General features: G+C 51.3%; 1 protein-coding gene across 31 annotated transcripts, besides 2 other annotated features; it reads right to left on the reverse strand.

Annotated features, from left to right (window-relative positions):
- Nucleotides 1-1,236: 1,236 nt before the first annotated feature.
- On the reverse strand, nucleotides 1,237-15,376 carry TBATA (thymus, brain and testes associated). 31 transcript variants are annotated; one of them, XM_017015846.2, is made up of 13 exons: nucleotides 15,284-15,376; nucleotides 14,646-14,772; nucleotides 13,338-13,524; nucleotides 11,800-12,035; nucleotides 9,592-9,741; nucleotides 8,556-8,635; nucleotides 7,761-7,856; nucleotides 7,152-7,334; nucleotides 5,188-5,269; nucleotides 4,163-4,356; nucleotides 2,513-2,611; nucleotides 2,208-2,344; nucleotides 1,237-1,613 (listed from the first exon to the last, which is right to left on the reverse strand). In XM_017015846.2, the coding sequence occupies exons 3-13, from the start codon at nucleotides 13,376-13,378 to the stop codon at nucleotides 1,580-1,582; spliced, it is 1,332 nt and encodes a 443-aa protein (XP_016871335.1). In that variant the 5' UTR covers nucleotides 13,379-13,524; nucleotides 14,646-14,772; nucleotides 15,284-15,376; the 3' UTR covers nucleotides 1,237-1,579. The 31 variants fall into 31 exon arrangements, 25 of the variants coding, with proteins under 25 accessions (XP_016871335.1, XP_016871334.1, XP_016871342.1 ...); XM_017015845.2 differs by having other exon boundaries at nucleotides 1,237-1,729; XM_017015853.2 differs by lacking the exon at nucleotides 2,208-2,344 and having other exon boundaries at nucleotides 1,237-1,460; nucleotides 2,513-2,565; nucleotides 4,212-4,356.
- Nucleotides 6,250-7,077: an enhancer, noted in NCBI's record as "H3K4me1 hESC enhancer chr10:72536007-72536834 (GRCh37/hg19 assembly coordinates)". NCBI's record gives its function as "activates a minimal SCP1, AML or CMV promoter by ChIP-STARR-seq in primed H9 embryonic stem cells {active_cell/tissue: H9 hESC(primed)}" and the evidence as "EXISTENCE:reporter gene assay evidence [ECO:0000049][PMID:30033119]".
- Nucleotides 6,346-6,527: a silencer, noted in NCBI's record as "fragment chr10:72536103-72536284 (GRCh37/hg19 assembly coordinates)". NCBI's record gives its function as "represses an EF-1alpha promoter that drives an FKBP-Casp9 reporter gene in an ReSE screen in HepG2 liver carcinoma cells {active_cell/tissue: HepG2}" and the evidence as "EXISTENCE:reporter gene assay evidence [ECO:0000049][PMID:32094911]".
- Nucleotides 15,377-18,873: the final 3,497 nt, after the last annotated feature.

Here is an 18,873-nt window from a genome sequence, read left to right on the forward strand (position 1 = left end):
GTGAAGCTGTTTACTTAACAGCAAATCCCTATCCATCACTAATCTTGATTGAAGCCTGCTGTACAGAAAAGTTTTGTGTGAATGGAGTGTTTGGGAAAATCCAGAGGGACTGAATCTATCTGAATGAATGTAAGGTAGGGTAGTGTTGCAAGCATAGAATGGAGCCGCAATCCATGGAACTAAGTCCACTTACTTCATTAACTAAGCCAGTAAAATAGCAGCTCAGAGCCACAGGGGACAATGACCTTGTAAATCCTCAATGCCTCCTCCCATCCCAATTTTCCAGGGAATTTGCAGAAATGTCATGGAAGACATTGGACTTCCCAGAGAGTCTTCTCTAGATCTTATGATTTCAGAAATGTAACCACAGCTTTTGGCTAGGGTGGGTAAGGCAGTATAATACAGTTTTGTTTTGTTTTGTTTTGTTTTGAATTCTGAGACGGAGTCTCGCTCTGTTGCCCAAGCTAGAGTGCACTGGCATGATCTTGGCTCACTGCAACCTCTACCCCTCAGGTTGAAGTGATTCTCCTGCCTCAGCCTCCTGAGTAGCTGGGATTGCAAGCATCCACTACCATGCCTGGCTAATTTTTGTATTTTTAGTAGAGATGGTGTTTCGCCATGTTGGTCAGGCTTGTGTTGAACTCCTGATCTCAGGTGATCCGCCCACCTCAGCCTCCCAAAGTCCTGGGATTACAGGCGTGAGCCACCGCGCCCGGCCAGAATGCAGGTTTTAGGAGCAGGGATTCTGGAGCCAGACACCCAGGCTCTGCCACTTGTTAACTGTAGGACTTTGGACAAGTTGTTTCACCTGCATGTGTGTAGATATGTACTGCATATAAAGCACATAGAACAATTCACACTGTGCTCATCACCAGCTTTTACCTAAGTCGCTGCCTCTGTGCCCAGCACACACAAAAATAGAAACTCAATAATTGGCAACAGTGATCCTTCTAAGGAGGCCTACACGTTCCCCGACCTCTGCTCTACCCTACCCAGAGTCCTGTGTGTCTCAGCTCCAGGAGGGGCAGAGTCCTTTCTCAGGATGCCCCAACTGCCATCTGCCCTTCAGTTCTCTAGAACATAAAAGGACCAGGGAAGCCCCACGTGGAGGTAGCACTTGGGCTTTCCCATGGGAGTGGGGAGTAGGGATGGTTCCGTGCAGCCCATCTCTCTCTTGGCATCAGTGACCCCAACCAAGCACAGGCCTCCCACTGCTAGGAAAGCAGAACTGTCCTCTCTCAGGGAAGACGGTTTTATTTAGTAAGAGTTTTCACGGTAGGGAATCAGGTACTGCTGTGAAGGTGGTGGAGACAGAAACACCCCTGAACCCTTGGGGCTGCTCTTGAGCAAGGCAGGTGCAAGTGTTAGGGCCCCTCAGCTCTCTGCCCTCGGCTTCGATGTCTTCTTCTCTGTGTTCTGGCTTGAATGCATCTGGAGGACTTGAGCTTCTCCAATGTACTCTAGTGGGAGGAGAGACAGCAGGCAGGAGAGGACCGGGAAGGTGGGGCCCCCACCTGGGAGCTGCAGGTGGATGTGTGAGTGCTGAGGGGAAGGTCTGAGTCAAGCCCAGCTCCTGCTCTCAGCTCTGCTGGTGACCGAGGAGGGAATCCAACCTGAGAGGAATGGAGCGAATGGAATCCAACCTCTCTTCTTTCAACATCCAAGTAACAAATATCAATGAGATGCCTACTCTGTGCCTCTCTGCCAGGCACTCTGGACCTTTGATGGTCTAATCAGGGAGAATAATATACATTGAGGATGTGTTTCCTTTTCTCTCCCCTCCAGCCTGCTGCCACCCCTGCCCCCCACTCTAGTCTAAGGCACCAGGATGACTGCAGCAGCCTCTCCTTGGTCTCCCTCACCCATTCTTGTCCCCCATAGTCCGTGCTGCACACAGTAGCCAGAGGGGGCATGCACACCCTGCTCATAACCCTCTTCTACACCCATGCACACACCTGGCCTTTACCGCAGGCCAGCTCCTCCCACCTGTCTCATGCCTCCCTTACCACTGTCCCCCACCCAGAAGGCCCCAGCCACCATGGTCTGCTTGTTTTTCCACCAGCACACCAAGAGGTGGGAGCTTTGCTGGTTGGCTCTTCCTAGACTTGGGTAGAGCTGTATCTTTCCTGCCGTTCAGCTCTAGGAGCCCTCTCCCCACCTGCCAGTCCTTCTCACTACTGACCACAGAGCCTTGTTATTCTCCTTACAGTATCTGTCTCCACTCCTCCCCAGGTGTTTTAATTTGTTGTCTGTATTCCTCCTTGCTGGGATGTAAGTTCCGTGACAGCAGGAACTTGTCTGAATTCTTCCTCACTGATCCCCAGAGTTCAGCACATTGTGGGTGCTCGATAAATATTTGTTAAAGAATGAATATGAATAAGTGAATGAATAGATGAAATGAGCAGCATCCTTGGGCAGGGACTCATCTCCAAGTTGACTGGAATCCCCTGAGAAATCCAGCCAGAGTGGGCCTTGGTGAGTCCCCCAAATGACCCACTACTTGGAATCTTACCTGGTTTTTCGCTTTTTGTAAAAGGTGATATCTTCGTTTTCTTCGGGGATTGACTGTGACCAAATACAAAGAAGGGGCTGGGAAGGTCATGCTGGAAACCTGACCCCACGGGTGGCAGGGGAGACAGGGAGGTGGGGAAGGTGGTGCAGGTGCAGTCAGCTGTCTGCTCCAGGGAGAGGCAAGAGTCACCCCTCCTGGAGGGCCAGAAAACATCTGTCCATGACTAGCACCCAGGTGGCCTTCCTGTATCACCCCAGGCCAGACCCAGACAACTGTGGCCCTGCCGTCTGCAGTTAGTTCCACTGGGAAGCAAGGCCCTCCTGTCTCTGGAGAAACAGGGCATGGACTCTGCATCAGCCCTCCCCCTAGCCCTGACTCACTCGCTCCACTGGTTTCCTTGTGGACTTCCCTTTGAGTGGGCAAGACAAGAACCCTGCGTCTTGAATGAATTCAAAGTATGAAAGATGCTCTTCCGTCTTGCATTGGGCTTTACATCTCCCCATGCCTTTTTATGTGCCCGATGTTATTTTCCCTCCCTACGACTCTGGGAGGGGGCTTTTGAGAGATAGTTGAAGCTGATGATCGCAGCTGGGAGGTGGTTTGCCCAAGGTCACAGTGAAGCCTGTCTTCCTCGCTAGGCCGTTCCTCCTCTGCTCTCTCAGAGTGGAAGGGAACACCAAGTCCAAGGCCTTGCAAGAACCCATGACTTCAAGAAACCTCAGTCCACCCCTACCCCTGCTTCTTCTCACCAAGCCCACCCATGCTCCAGACACCTCAAACTTGTCATTCCCCAGTTGTATACCTTCCTGACTTCCATGCCTTCACCCAGGCTGGTCCCACTTCCCGGGATGACCTTTTCCCAAGCTTTCATTTGCTCAGTCAAATCCTACCACTCCTATCAGTGTTTCCCAAACTCTGTTGGAAACACTCAGGTGACTGTTAAAAATACAGGCCCCCCCGGCTTCACCCCGGCCTGCTATGTTAGAATCTTTAGGGGTCTGCATTTTTAACAAGCTCCCGGGGAGAATCTGAGTGCTGCTGGCTTTGGGAGTCAGTCGGGTCCAAGACTGAATCCCAGCCCTTCTGCCGACCAGTCAGGTTACTTTGGGTAGGCCATTCTATTGTTCCTGAGCCTCAGTTTTCCCATCTGTAAAATGGAGCTAATACTGCCTCAGTGGGTTGTTGGATGGACTAGAAAAACGTGGAACACCCAGCGGTGTCAGGCAAACTTATCGCTGCTCAGTGGCCTTGCTGACTCTCAGGCTCCACTCACCTGCCTTGTGAGGCCTCCCCCAGTTCGTAATTAATCTTTCTCTTCCAGCCATCAGGGCACTTAGTACTGGTATAAAACCACTGCCTTGTGTTAGCATTTTCTCTCTACTCATGTCTTCCCATAGACCAAAGAGCTTCTGAAGAGTTAGGTGTGGCTAATCCAGCCTTATCTGGTTAAAATTGACTCCGGTGGCCCCCTTGGGGTGTCCCCAGCCCTGGCAGTTTGGGGGCTGGTCTGGCTGTGTTGGCCTTGAAGTGGCTTGGGTAGCACTAGAAGGTCCCTGGGGGAGGGGCTGGGCCTCTGCCTCCAGGACAGACTTAGTCAGCCCAGACCCTGGTCAGCGCCAGGCTCCCTTCTCCAGGTCCCACTGGCCTCACCTGGGAGGACAGAAGGCTGCAGAAGGGCAGGGCGGGGTGCGGGGCCCACCTGCAGGGTGGCTCTTGCTTCTCTTGAGGAGGTTCATGCACTTCTGGAAGCTGGCTTAGGAGCTTTTCTGTAGGGATGGAGACTAGGGGCTGGGGAAGGAGCTGAGCCACTGCTGTCTGCAGGAGTCCCAGAGCGAGGTCTTTTTCTGAAAGCACAGCCCGGGGGCAGTGTCCTCAGCCCCCAGCCCCCTTCCTGTCCCTGTGGCGGGGCCAGAAGCAGGGCCTCCATCCAGGGCAGCTTTCTCTAAGCATCCCACCTTCTGCCCTCAGGTCCCCTCGGGAGAGCTCCCCCTTCTCTCCTGGCCCATGTGTGCAGAGCCCCTAGCCCTTTCACATCCCTGTCCTGCCACATGAGGATGTGTACGCCTTGTTCTTGGCCCCAGCTGGCCCTCCTGCCCACCATATCCCCGGGCCCACGCTGGGAAGTCTACTGGGGACCTGCCTTCCTCCTCCCCCTTCTCCTTCACTCTCCTGTCCAGGAAGTCTTCTCCAATTAGCTTCCTGGTTCTCATCACTCCTCACCCTTCTACTCAGATGCACCCCCTACCCACTGTCCCAGTGCGTCCGCGTGTGTATTCCTGTGTTCATGTGTATACACATGAGTAGCCTTATGTGCATCTACTTGCACCTGTGTGTGTGTGGGGGTCTCCCAATGCAACGTGTGAGGGGCTGTGTCTGCTAAGTTCAGTCTTTGGATTTTTTCCTCCCAGGTGCCTAGGCCTGGGGTCAGCATGAAAGAGGGGTCCCCTCCAAGGAGCAGGGGTAAGGAAATCCTGCTGAGGAATTGGGGAGGAGGAAGCAGAGATGCTGTCCAGCTGGGAAGGGTTAGTTTGGGGCTCCAAAGTGGAGGAGAGGCCTCCATGGAAGGCCCCCTCCAGGGTGGGAGCTGAGGGACATTTGAGTCCTGCAGAACCAGAGATCAAGGGCAGGACCTTGGCAGCCTCCACTGAGACAGTGCTGCGGGGCTGTGTCCTCACCCTTGGGCGGAGCGTAGAGCAGCCAGAACTGGATTGCGCTTAGCAAGTCTGTTTCCAGGATCCGACACAGGAGCTCCAGGACCTGTGGGCAGGAGGCCAGCACATTCCAGCCAGGAGTACAGGCAAGGAGTACAGGCAAATGTAGGTTTGGAGGGCACCAAGGAGACCCTTCCCCCAAAGTGGGCTCCCAGAGGCGCCTGCTGGGCTAAACGTGTTCCCACAAGGGTCTGTGCCTTTTCCTCCACATTGGGCTTTGCACTTAACGGAGGGCTTTGTCTCACAACAGTCCAGGAGGAAGATTCTTAATCTTCCTGCTGGACGGGTGGAGAATCCGAGGCCCTGAGAGGGGATGCTAGCAGGTAGTTGGTGGCAGGACACGACCTCAGCGAAAGGTTCTGTGGACCCCACATCCCTGAAGCCTGCTTGGCTGGTTATTCCCTAGGGCCCCCTCACTGGGAAGCCAAGGTCCGAGCTGGCCAGTCAGCTCCTCAGAGACACACCAAATCCCACATGCCCAGGGCCTTGGTGTGGGGATTTCAGGAACCCCATGGTAAGCCATACCCTAAAAGTCCCAGAGTCTGGGGATGTTGGAAAAGGGATGGGGGAAGCCCAGAGGGCAGCCTGAGGCGGGGCAGCACAGGCCGGTTCTGCAAACTGCTCAGCACCGGCTCCCTCCTGCAGAGCTGTGGGCATGCTTGGCTCCTTGCTGCATCCTCAGTCTTTGACATCTTTGCTACTTCCGGGCTCATTTTCCCCTGCGTTCTCCAGTCAGTTAGCATCAGGAAAAGATCCAGCTGTGTCTGGGATGGGCTATGGGGGCTCCCTAGGCCAGACTGCTGCTGGTGGCTGTAGCTATGGCAGGCTGGAGTTGGGGCCTGAGGTGAAAGGTGGAAGCCCTGGAGTCCTAAGAAAGTGAGGCCCCCTCAGCTCCTGGCGGTCAGTCATCCTAGGACCTGGAGGGGCCCGTCGGTCCCCAGCAGGTCGGCCTCATCCTCAGCAGAGTGGAATCTGGGCTGGGCCTCTCCCCAGGCCTCTGCCTGCTTAGGGGTCCACCCTCGTCCCCAGATGCCCACCCGCTGTGCTGACCCACCCTGACCTGCCCCTGGGCCCTTCTCCATTCTCTGTGTCCAACTTACCTGCCTTGTGCCCCCTCCCCACAGGACCTGAGAACCTAATTCCAGGTGAGGTGAGGCCGCCCTATGGTGGAGAAAGCACCTTAGTCCTGGCTATGCTGCTCCGTCTCAGGGGACCTGGCCCATGGACTATCACTTGGCAGGGCCTCGGCCTCCCCATCCGTGGCATGGAGGTGCTGAACCCTGTCTGCTCTATCCACTTTGCTGCATTGTGGTAAGGTTTCAGAGGGAGTGTGTGCCTGACAGTGCTGGTCACAAGGAAGGTGGCAGAATGCTGGGTCTACCTCTGGCCTTTCTTGGAGGACATCCGTGCATTTTCACAGGGACCTCTGACGCCTTCACCCACCGGGATGAGGCATGGACTCATCTCAGGCCTCAGTGGGGAAACGTGAGCATGGAGGAGGTGGGCTCTGGGCTCACTGAAGCACAAGCCAGGCCCCTCGCTGAGTGTGGACACCAGGCTGGGCCTAGCCATGCAGGCTGTGGGGTGCGGCCTGCTGTGATGGGCAGGACCTCCTTCTTCAACCCACCATTGCAGCTCCCTTCACTAACTCAGCAAATGCTACAGCTGGAAGGGACCCTCGACAACAGTGCGTTCATGCTTCCAGTGGAGAGATCACGGAACTAGGGCCCAGGGAGGGGAAAGGACTCACATGGAAACCTAGAGGCAGCAGGGGGTCATAGCCCCTGCTGCTGACTCCACAGGGCTGGAGTTTTCTGTTCTTAACAGTCCTAGGCACCAGTATCCCTGGGAGGGGCCTTGCCCTAAAGCGGTTTGTAAGACCCCTAATGTGGAGAGCCAGGAGCCTGGGAGCAGAACTGGGCCCTCACCAGCAGCTCCTGATCCTGAAGGAGGAAAGCCTGGACTCCTTCATGTCTGCTGGAAGACTGACTCTGCTGGCCCTGGTGAGATCTGCGGCGGCCGACAGCCCGGGTGGAAGCGGGGATGAGCCTCCCAGTCTCTGCTGAGTACTTTGCCCCCTGCTCCCGCAGAGGCTCCTCCTTCTGCTCCTTCTGCTGGGACAAAAGTGGCCAGAGACTCCAGGCAGTCAGCAAGAGGGGAGGAAGAGGGCTGAGGGGAGGAGAGGAGCAGGAGGCCGGGTCACAATCCCAGGGCACTTCGCCTCCCAAATCCCAGCATCACAGCGTTGCCAGGGTCCCAGGGTATCATCCAGCTCTGCCACCCCCCCAACCTCACCTGCCCTAGACCCCTCCTTGGGCATCCCCGGCCCTCTCTCTGGCAGCTGGCCCTTCCACTATCAGCTATCACGCTTAAACCAGCAAAAGCTCTTCCTCCTGGAACTCAGTAATGCAGGGTCGATCGCTGGATGCCCGCGGGTGGTTCTCGTTCTCCCTCCCAGGTAGGTCCTCCTTGCTGCTCCTCCCCACACCCATCAGAGATTTGAAAACAGCATCCTGCACCAAGGGCCCACCGCCTACCTTAATTCCCAGCTCAGCTGCCCCCAGGTCTGTCCCAGAGAGGCCTGGTGCCTGGGGCCTCCTGCTCTTGCAATTCCAATTAAGACTGGTAGTATCCTTCCCCCCATTTTAAAGATAAGAAAACAGAGACCCAGACAGCTTAGCTGAGTTGTCCTGAGTGCTGCAGTGAGTTAGTTGTGAGCAGGAATGAGAAGCCGGGCCTCTGCCTGTCCACTCTGGTTACCCAAGACAAGGGGCAGGACCAGACTGTCCTAAGAGCAATTCCAGTCACCTTCAAGCTGCCTCTCAGGTGACTTTACTGTTTTATCATCAAATGGCACCCATGGGGTCACCCCTATCATGTTTGAAAACCTTCCGAGATTCTCTGCTCCTTATGCGATTAGACACTAAAAATCTTGGCAATTAAGAACAAGCTGCTCCTCCCCACATGCAAAGTCTGCCCCCCCTCACCTTTCCCATTGCTGCCCACTTATAGCCTGGTTTCTGATGGTGCCCTGCATTTGCCAGCTTTTGAGCTGCTGTGCTAGGTGCCTCTGCTCGGAACTCCTCAGTCCCCTTGTGAACATCTCACTTAGATATCGAAGGCCCCCAAGTGCCTCCTGTCCTAAAACCCCTGCTTGGATTTCTCCACCTAGGTGTGCTCTCTCCCTCACTGTGACCTTTCCCCTGACGTTTGTATGAATCAGTCCCCCCACCCCACCTCTGGTAGGCTGAACTGACTCGGGAGGGATCTCCTTACACAGGGAAGGATCCGTTTCTCCTCTTCCCAGACTAGCTCCTGTGTTCCGCACCCACCTCTTTCTTCTTCAGTTCATCCTCCTTGGTGAGGAAGGCCACCCGGGAAGCTAGCTCCTTCAACTCCTTCTTCCAGGCTTCTGGGAGGAGGGGACAAGGTCCTGCCAACTGAAGTCAGGGGCCCTCCTCCCCTCCCTGTGCCACCAGGCCTTGGTAGAGGAGTCTGCTCTCCTTCCTGGCCTCCCTGCCTGGATCTTAAAGGGAAAGGGGGAGGCGGTGCCCTGGAGGGAGAAGGATCTGGATTCACACCATGGGTGGTGGTTGTGGCAGTGGGTGGGGTGCGGGGGTGGGGCATTGCTTTCCTTCTAGCAGGGGCTGATGTTGATGTCCTAGCCTGTGGCATTTCTAGGGGATGCTGGAGAATATTTGGTTACCTGTGCCAAGATGCACATGGTTTAATCTAGCTTTGCCTCTTTTAGGTCCCTGAGGCCAAGACTGAAGCTGAGGAGATACAGATGGGCCTGTTATTAAGAAATCAAACTACTCCCTGGAGAGGGTGGCAAAGAGAGCAGCAGCCAGCCTTCCAAGTCTCTCTGCCCTGCACTGGCAGCCCCAGCCCCTTCTCCAGGATCTCTTCCCTGTCCCCACCAAACTGGCTTCCAGCACCTCAGTGGTGGAAAGGATAATGCTTGGCAGAGCAGAGACCTCTGAAACGCCAAGCCAGCACTGTGGCTGATTGTTCTGGTTGGCCAATGCCTGAGCACACAAGCTACTAAATATTCCCTATAGCATTCTGGCCTACAGCTGCCAGTCACATGACTGCAGGCTCAACATCTGCTTGCCCTCTGTGTGTTATTACTCCTCAAGCACCTCAAATCCAAGCAGGGGTGCATTTCTGCTGGCTAGGACTTGCTGGGTGGGGAGTAATGCAGAGATTAGGCTGTCCAAGGAAATGGGAGAAAAAGTGGGGTTCCCCCAACGGACCTCACTGACCTAAGAGCGATGGCCCTTTCCTTCTGGGCACCCACCCAAGTGAGGCAGCCTTGGGGAGAGGCATGAGCCCCAGGGTAGAGGGAGGCATGGCCCAAGTACCCACCAGAAGAAAGCTGGGGGTTCCGATTAGACTGTGGGTCTCCAATGGGGACAGAGATGGTGGGTATCCCCATTTGACAGCCGGAAAAGACAGTTGACTCAGGCAAGGGGGCTGGAAAATCCCTGACGACACAGACAGGCTTCCCGGTGAGATCTGCAAAGGGTTAGAGGCTGTGGGAAGGGAGGCTTAGGTGGACCTTAAGAGCTCCAGGAGGCAGGGAAGAGGCTGAGAGGCAGGGTGATTCCGGCTCCACCTCTTCCAGTAACCACCAGCTGATAGATTATCAGAGCTGGGAGGGCATTGTAACCACCTAGACCAGCGACCGCCTCACCCACGGGGGGATCCTAGAATGGACAGGGGAAAGGCCCGCTCAGGGCCACACTGTGATTTGGGCAGAGGTGAGACAAGAACTTAGGCTTCCTGGGCCCCTAGTCCTGGGGATCTTCCGATTTCCTGTGACAGGGCAACAAATTGCCGATGTGAGTACAAACGGGTAGGCAGGCAGCTTAAAGATGAGAATGCTGGGGCGAGGGCATTATGTCACAGTTCATGATGGGAGAGGCCTGGGCTCACATGACAGGGAGAGAGATTGAGCCACACCCTCTGCAGAAAACTTCTGCTTTGGTCAGCCTGTGCAAGGCTGCGTGCAGGGCAGCCTGGAGGTAGTGGGGGCCGTTTGCACTTGAGGACCCTTCTGGCTAACCCTGGGTGATTATTATATCACTATTGACAGTGAGGCTTGAAGATCGGCCTGGCAAGGACCTAGCAGGGCTGCTGTCTCCTCCCTGAAACACTTCCCTTTTGGTGCCAGGACTCCTCACTCTTGTCCCGGCTCCCTACCTCTCCTCATCTCCTCTGCCGACTTCTCATCTTCTCAACCTCTTAATCCTGGGGTCCCCAGGTACCTGTCCCCAGGTTTTTCTCTCCGGTAGCTACACGGACTCCTTGGGGATCCTACCCAGGCCCACCACTTGAAACACCCCCTCTCGAATGGCTCTCACGTCTGTGTCTCTGCCCTGAACTCCAGATCCGACTGCACCCCCGTACCTCCACCTGGAGGTCTAGAAAGCATCTCGCATCACCCATCTCCCACATCAGAAACCAAACCCCTGACTCCTCCCAGCCTACACTAGCCCTTCTGCACATTTCCCTGCCTCAGTCAATGTACTCCAGTTTCCCAGGTGCTCAAGCCAAAAATCTAAGTCGGCCTTGACTCTTCTCTTCCTCTCACACTCCACTTTTAATCAATCGCCAAGTCCTACTGACTTTACATTTCACATATCTCCAGCATAGAGCCACTGAGTCTTCCACTTCTAGCCCCTGGTCCAAGCCACACTTAAGACAGAGGCCAGGATGACCTTGTTAAAACATCTCACTTCTGTGCTCTCAGCCTTCCAAGGGCTCCAGCTGATTCAGGAAAGTGGCTTAATGGTGACAATAGTGGCCCAAATGCCTACCTGATCTGGGCCCACTGTCTCCCTGATGCCTTCTCCGTTCTCCTCTCCTACTTTACTCCAGCCAGACCAGCTTCTGCTTCCTTGCTGCTGCTCCAACAGAGTGGGAGCGCTCTTGCCTTCTGGACTTTGTATTTGCTGATCTACCTGCCTGAGACATCTTTCCCCTGCTGTGTGCATAGTTCCTGTGTAGTTCTTTGCTCAAATGTCATGTTAATGGCCATGTCTTCTGTGACCACCTTTCAAAAATAGCTATCTTCCCACTGCAGCCTGGGCACTTGACACCTTCCCCATCTCCCATCCCTCCCCACTGGAGGTCAGCTCCAGGAGGGGGGCCACCATGTCTGTCTTGTTCACTGTTGTATCCCCAAGGCCTAAAAAAGTGCCTAGCCAATAGTTCACACTCAATCAATATTTGATGGCTGGCTGGATGGCTGAGTGGCTGACATGGCCTAAGTTAGAGAACTTAAGAGAACAGAGCACTGCTCCAGGACAGAACTTATCCCTTTCTCTGATTTGTAAAATGGGAGAACCCAGCAGTCAGGGGAATCTGTAGGGAACCTGTCACCCACCCTTGGAGGCTTCTCTCCTGCCCACTGAGCAGTCCTGGCTGGGTTCTTTGGCAGCCCTGGGATCCTGGACCCCATCCTCTCTGGGCCCCAGCCTGGAAATGGGCTGCCATCAATTCTTGCTTCCCAGTTCTCAAGACCAATTAGTGATACTCCCTCTGCTCCCACCCCAACCAGCCAGGCCCTACCTTGGATGTGGGTCACGTGCTGGGGGTGTGGGTGGTGCCGGGAGAAGAAGGAGTGGTGACTGAGGCGTCCAAAGCAGTAGGTGCCAGGGGTTTGGGGCTTTGGGGTCCTCAATGCCCGGCGGATCCGCTCGAAATCCACAATCCCTGGGATCACCAGTTCTTTCTGTGGCCCACTGTCCCTGGGGCTCCTTGGCTTGCGCCCTGACTTCTTCTCCAGTTTCAGCTCAGCCTTTGGACTGAAGGAGGGGGTTTCAGGAGAAGCTAATGGAGTCTCCTCTGGCAGTGGGCCCACCTGGGCTCAGAGCTCAGTGCTTGTTACAGAACCCCTTCCTGAGGAGCTCTGAAATCTGGTTTCCTGGGTTTCACCACCACCCCCATAGCACCAAAAGCTAGGCCTCCCCCAGAGTCCTTTCCCAACTGGTGCAATCCTGTCCTGGTTAGTCTTCCTTATCAGGGAGCTGGCATCCATTTGAGGGAACTCAGACTCTCCCAGCACCCCAGTTTTTTCCCAGAGACCATATCTGAAACCAGAAAGAGAAGCTGCAGACCCACCTACTCATCAAAATACCCAGGATGGAGCAAAGTCACCTTATATACATCCCTGGGGATGGGGATGGTCTCAACAGGGGCCTCTCCCCAAGCCAGACTGTGGACAGCCCAGAGGCCAGCTATAGGCTGTCATCCTCCCCCATGCACTCAGGAGTAGTCTTGGCTCAGACTCAGCGTCCAGAGGCCAGAGCTGGAGCTTAGGCCAGACCAGACCAGCAAGTTCTGTTCCCATGGGGGTCCCTCCTAGGAGAGGAAGAGCTGACGCAGCAGCTACTGGGGCTGTGGCGCTGAGGGAAGCTTCAAGCTCTGTTTTGCTTTGCTGGAGACAAGCCAGCTTGGGTCCTCTCTCCTCTACCCCACACCCCTCCCCTTCCTGAGGACGCTATGCATCTGCCCTTGGAGGAAGGTCAAGATCAGCAAAGGTGGGCCAGTCCCCACTGGAGGCCTGCTGGGACCACCTGCCTGATCGCTGTCTGCATGCCCTTCTCACGGTGGCCCTGGCTGAAGGGAGTCCTTTTGGAGTACAGATGGACTCTGGATGTGCTAAGCAAGGCGTGCCGCCCCCGGACCCTCTGAGGACTCCACTGACTTGGCCCCTGAGTTTCCTGTTCCATTCTCCATTCGCCTCTAAGGGATCTGGGGCTTAAAGAAATAAAGCAAACCTTCTCTGAAAGTTGCAGTTAGCTGTCCTCTTCTACCCCCAAGTAACAGAGGAAGTCACCTCCTGAGAACCCCTGGAACTCCTTTGCTCAGTGCTTCTGGCACCCGCTCAAGTCTTTTCCCTGCCCAGGAGGGGCAAAGCCCACTACCTGGGCTAACTTGAGCCTGAGGACCCATTGGGGGGTCTGGCTGACCGGCAGCAGAAGTCCAGTAAGAACCACCTCTCTTGGACTCCTAATCTGTTGAGATCCCCCAAGGCCACCTTTGTCTTCTACCCTGCCCTACCCCAAGCCCTCCTCAGTCAGCAGGGTGGGCATTTGGAGCCTCACCTCATCAGTGGATAATCAGCCAATTGAACATCTGTAGCCATTGTATGCTTTTTAACAGACTAAAGGCCAGTGCACTTAATACTAGCGTTGAGGATGCAGAACAGGAACTCTCACTTAATACTAGTGTTGAGGATGCAGAACAGGAACTCTCACGAACTGGTGGTGGAAGTGTAAACGGGAACAGGCACTTTAGGGGGAGAAATGGTAATATCTTTTAAAATTGAGCATTTGCATGCTGTATCACCCAGCAATTTCTTTCCCAGATATAAGAGAAATTCTTATAGATGTACAACAGGGGCTACTTATAAGAATATTCATACAAACACTGTTCAAAATAGCAAAAACCTGGTGGCAACCCAAATGTCTGATGGCAGAAGAATGGATAAATAAGCTGTGGTGCATTCAGACAATGGGATACTTTATTGCTATGAAAATAAATGAGCCACAGCTACATGTAACAACATGGATGAATCTTATAATCAGTATGAGAAAACTTAACAATTCTTGGTTTTGCGATGTTATATTTATGCAATCTTATTAACTCAATTTACTTTTTATTAATTACTATTAAATAGGCTGCAGTAGAACAAGATATATGCATTTGAAACAATACAATTGTTGTCATCCACTATATATAATGTGTGGATAATATAAAATAACTACTAAACAGTATAAATGTTGTTTAAAAACATATTATTTTTCTTTCATAAATGGTTTAGTTTATGTGTGTTCCAGAGGACCACAAGTTCCAGAGGACCACATAGCCTGAGATCCTTTCTAAAAATAAAAGTTTAAAAGCAAGCAAAATGATCATGAACATGCGATAAAACAGCAACAACAGCATCAAACAAGGAAATGCTAAGCACGAAATTCACATAGTGGCTATTTCCGAGGGAAGGCGGGGAGGGGAAGTGTGCAGGAGAAGCGCATATAAGGAGATGTGTTAGTGATGATGTTCTTGTTCTTGGTTTGGGTGGTGTATTTGCTTGTGTTTATTATATTATTAAATAAACTAATTAAATGGCATAGATGAAAGATGATAGGTGTCAAAACCAAGAATTATGATTAAATCTATGGACCTGAATATATATATCTAGCCAAAGTGCTAGGGATGGGGTTGGGACAGGACATCAGTGCATTCTGAGAATTAACCCTCAGAGTCACAGAATCTGCAAGGGACCCCAGAGATCTCCCAATGCCAGCCTTCATCAGGTAGTGGGATGGGTTGGAGTTGTCTGAGATCAGGGAAGCAGGGGAGATTTGCTGAGGTCACACAGAAGGAACCAGAGCCCGGGCAGTCTGACTCACAGTTTGCTGATCTTTTCTTTCCTTAAAAGGAAGCTCCAGACATCCTTGATGTCAGGTACTGGGCTCTAGAGTACTGAGATGCTACAATCTTGAGAACAGGATATGTGGAAGCCCCAAATCCTCCTGCCTATGGGAAAAAGTACTCTTTAGAACAGAGACTTGCAAATGTGTTTGGCTGTGATGACGGTAAGAAATTCTTTATGTCATGATCCAATTCACATATGGGTTTGTGTGTGTGTGTGAAACTAAAACAATAATATCCTGAAGCAATATTTATCCGTACTACATATGATGCACACTGATATTTTTACCCTATTTTTGGTTTTTATTTCTTAAATGTTAGATATGATCCATTTAAATTGATCTAATAAGCCACCAGGGGGTCATAACCCACAGCGGCTGTAGAGAGGCTGACAGGGACTCTAGTAGGCCAAGCCTGCCTTGTCCAGAGCGGGACAGGTGGGACCCCAGTGTAGTCTGCCCTGCCCTGCCCCTGCTCTCTGTCCCTGGGGCCCCAGCCAGCCAGGCAGAGGGGTCTGAGGGCTCCCATCAATCCAGCCACAAAACTTCCCTTTCTACCTCTGCCCTTCTGGGCTGTCCAGGGTCCATCTCCTCTCCCGAGAGGTCCCTGGACTCACCAAGGCAGTGCCCGCTACAGCATGTGTACGAGAAGCCCTGCTGTCCTAGCAGGAAGGAGCAAGAGGACAAATCGAGGGGAAGGCTGTGGGTTCTGTGGGCAAGTCTGCCTGCTTTGTGACACTGAGCCCAGTGGTTGCTAGGTTACCCTGTTCCCACAACTCCAGAACCTCTGCCCAGCACCCCTCTACCACATCCCCTGCCTATCTCCCCCTCCTGGAAGGGTAGACAAGGGCTAAGGACCTTCTGTCCCTCCTGACTTCCCTGCTGCCTCCCATCCAACACTTTCAATGGGGGCCAAGGGAGAGAAGGAGAGTCTGGGGCTGGTTTTAGCCAGAGAGAAGCGGATGGAGGCGGAACGCTGGCAGAGGACGTTGGTGGGCTGCGTCCCAGCTTCGTCAGCCCCACCTGGCCTGACCCCACCACACAGGGGTCGGCTTCCATGCATCTTGGTTCTGGGGACCCATTCTCAGGGAGGTGGGTCTTGGAAGGAGAGAAGATGGCAGCCCGCATTACCCAGAGGGACCCCAGCCCCTCTCTCTGCATGACAGCTGGGTGGGAAGATTCTGGGCTTGCATTTGGACAGGTGTTTTAATCAGATTTCAACATCCCATAGACACGTTACCTTGGGTAAGTCACCGGGACTGCCACAGATGCAAAATAGTGGGAAGAATCCTTGCTTCGAGTCCCTATTCTGCTACTTCCTAGTTGTGTGGCCTCAGACAATGCACCTGCCTTCTCTGAGCCTTAGTTCCCATATCTCTAAAATGGAGATGATGATACTGCACTTATTCTCACAGGATGTTTGAGAATATTAAGTGAGTTGATATATATTAAAGCGTTTCAAACAGTATCTGCCCCCAAGTATAATTTCTTACTATTATTGCCTTCTCTGGGTCTATAAAATGGGATATCCTCACCTACTTCTGTGGTTGTTCTGAAGACAAGCTAATGGAAGTGAAGCCTTTAGTTGTATGTCTGGCACACAAGAGATGCTCAAAAAGGATAATAATCATCATTATTATTGGTAACTTGATGGAGGTAGTAGGATGAGTCCTTTGTCTGAGAACTATCTTAGGTAGTTCACTATTTCTCTGAGGCTCAACTTGGACACCTGTCAAATGGGGGTAAGGATAGTTCTTAGCCGACAGGGCTGTAACTCAATCAGATCCCGGGAGGGGTGCAGACAGGCTCTGTAAACTATGGGAAGGCTTGCAGACAGTGCCGGGTGCTGTCCCTCAGAATGATGAGGTGGGCTTTTCCCAGGGCCTTTGCTCTCAGCACCCCTGGCTTCATACTGGTGCCCTGGGGCTTCCAGACTCTGTGTCTTTTCTCTGGGGAGCAAGAAAAGGAAGGTGGGTAGCTAGAGGCAAACCCAAGTCCTTCAAAAGTTCTGCCCCTCCCAGCTAAGGGGTGGGGATTCATACCACTCTGGTGGCCCCCTGAGGGCTGTCCTCTGGTCTTGGCCTACTCCAAATGCCCACCCATCCTTCGGCAGGTCAGGATGTTCCCTGGCTTTTTCTGGGCCTGTCTCTGCAGGAATACGGTGACTCTTTTGAAATCATACTGAAAACCCCCTCTTCCATACTTCTGGGCATCCTGGCAGCTGTGAAGATAGATGATATAGCATTTGGGAGAAGAGAGGCTTTCTTCCCCGTGACAAGCCACTCCTCCCTCCTGCTTTCAGCACTCTTGTGGCATTTCCCACCACGCGAGCTGACTCAGCTGAGATGAAAACCCACTCTCATCCTCCCCACTGGTGCCTTGTAATGCTTCAACTATGTTATTTACAATCGAGCATGGGGGTCTGCATAGGGACTGCAGCTGGGGGGATGAAGGGGTTCCTCAGGAAATGTCTTCAACACTGGTTTGTAAAAGAAGAACTGAGGAAACTCTTCTGACTCCTTTGTGGAGTGTCAAAAACTGTAGAGAGATCTGTCAGCCTGAGAGTGATTTGAGGTACAGTCCTTGGCCTGGATGACTCAGTCATAACAGAGGCAATAGAAACTTCATGGAACACTTTCTATGTGCCAGGCACTGTGCCAACCTCTTAGATATATTACCTCATGTAATCCTATAGATGGAGAAATTAATGATCAGATAAATCTTTAGTTATTTGTGTTGCAAATATATTCTCTCCTTTGTGTCTTGCTTGTCTGTGTCTATATGCAGTCTTTTGATAAAGAGAATTCCTAATTTTAACATAACCCAGTTTATCAATTTTGTCCTTAATGGTTAGTGGGTTTTGTGTTTTAAGAGATTTTTGCCTACCCAAGGTTATGAAGATAATTCTCATTATTATTTTCTGAAGATTTACTGTTTTGCTGTTCATGTTTAGATCTACAATCAATACGGAATTGATTTTTGTGTTTGGTGTAAGATAGGGGTCAAAATTTATATATATTTTTTCCATATAAATATCCATTCGACCCAGTACCATTACTTAAAACATTGTCCTTATCTCTGCAGTACCATCTTTAACAAAATTCAAGTATCCGTATATGTGTGGGTCTGTCTCTGGACTTTCTGTCTACCAATGCACCAACACTATATTCTCTTAATTACTGTAACTTTAAATACATCTTGATGTCTATATAAGTGGTATAAGACTTCCAGCTTTGTTTTTTTAAGAGTGTCTTGGATATTCTAGTTCCTTTGCCTTTCCATACAAATTTTAGAATAATCTTATTGATATCTACAAACATTTTTGTTTAGATTTTTATAGGAATCAGGTTAAACTTCTGTATCAATTTGGGGAGAATGGACATCTTTACCATGTTGAGTCTTCCAGTCCATGAACATAGTATATCTCTCCATTTATTTAAATATTCTTTGATTACTTTAATCAGCATTTTATAGTTTTCAGCATAAAAGCCGTGGACATGTTTTGTTAGATTTTCACCTATTTCAGTTTTTGTTTTTAAAGGAACTGTAAATGGTATGGTATTTTAAATTTTGGTGTCCATATATGCATTGCTAGTATATAGAAACACTATTAATTTGGTATGTTAGTTTGTATCCTGCAACCTTGCTGAACTCACTTATTAGTTTCTGGAGATATGTTGTAGATTCCCTGGAATTTTCTACATAGGTAATAATATCATCTGCAAATAGGGACAGTTTTCTTTCTTTCTTTCTTTCCCATATATATGCTTTTTCTTCTCTTCTCTTCTCTTCTCTTGTCTTACTGCACTGCCTAGAATTTCCAATACTAAGTTGAATAACAGTGGTGAGAGTGCACATCCTTACCTTGTTCCTAATCTTAGGAAGTAAACACAGAGTCTTTAACCATTAAATATAATGTCAGCTGTAGGTTTTTTATATATACTCTTTATCAGGTTAAAGAAGTCCCTCTCTCTTCCTATTTTTCTGAGCATTTTTGTCATAAATGTGTGTTGAATTTTATCAAATGCTTTTTTTCTGCATCAACTAATATGATCTTGTGATTTTTCTTCTTTTGCTGGTCAGTACATTGATTTTTCAAATATTGAACTAGCTTTTTATCCCTGGAATAAGCCCCACTTGGTCATGGTGTACAATTCTTTTTATATATTGCTGGATTCTACTTGAAAATATTTTGTTAAGGATTATT

This window comes from Homo sapiens, chromosome 10 (genome assembly GCF_000001405.40).
Source record: "Homo sapiens chromosome 10, GRCh38.p14 Primary Assembly".
Taxonomy (NCBI): Eukaryota; Metazoa; Chordata; class Mammalia; order Primates; family Hominidae; genus Homo; species Homo sapiens.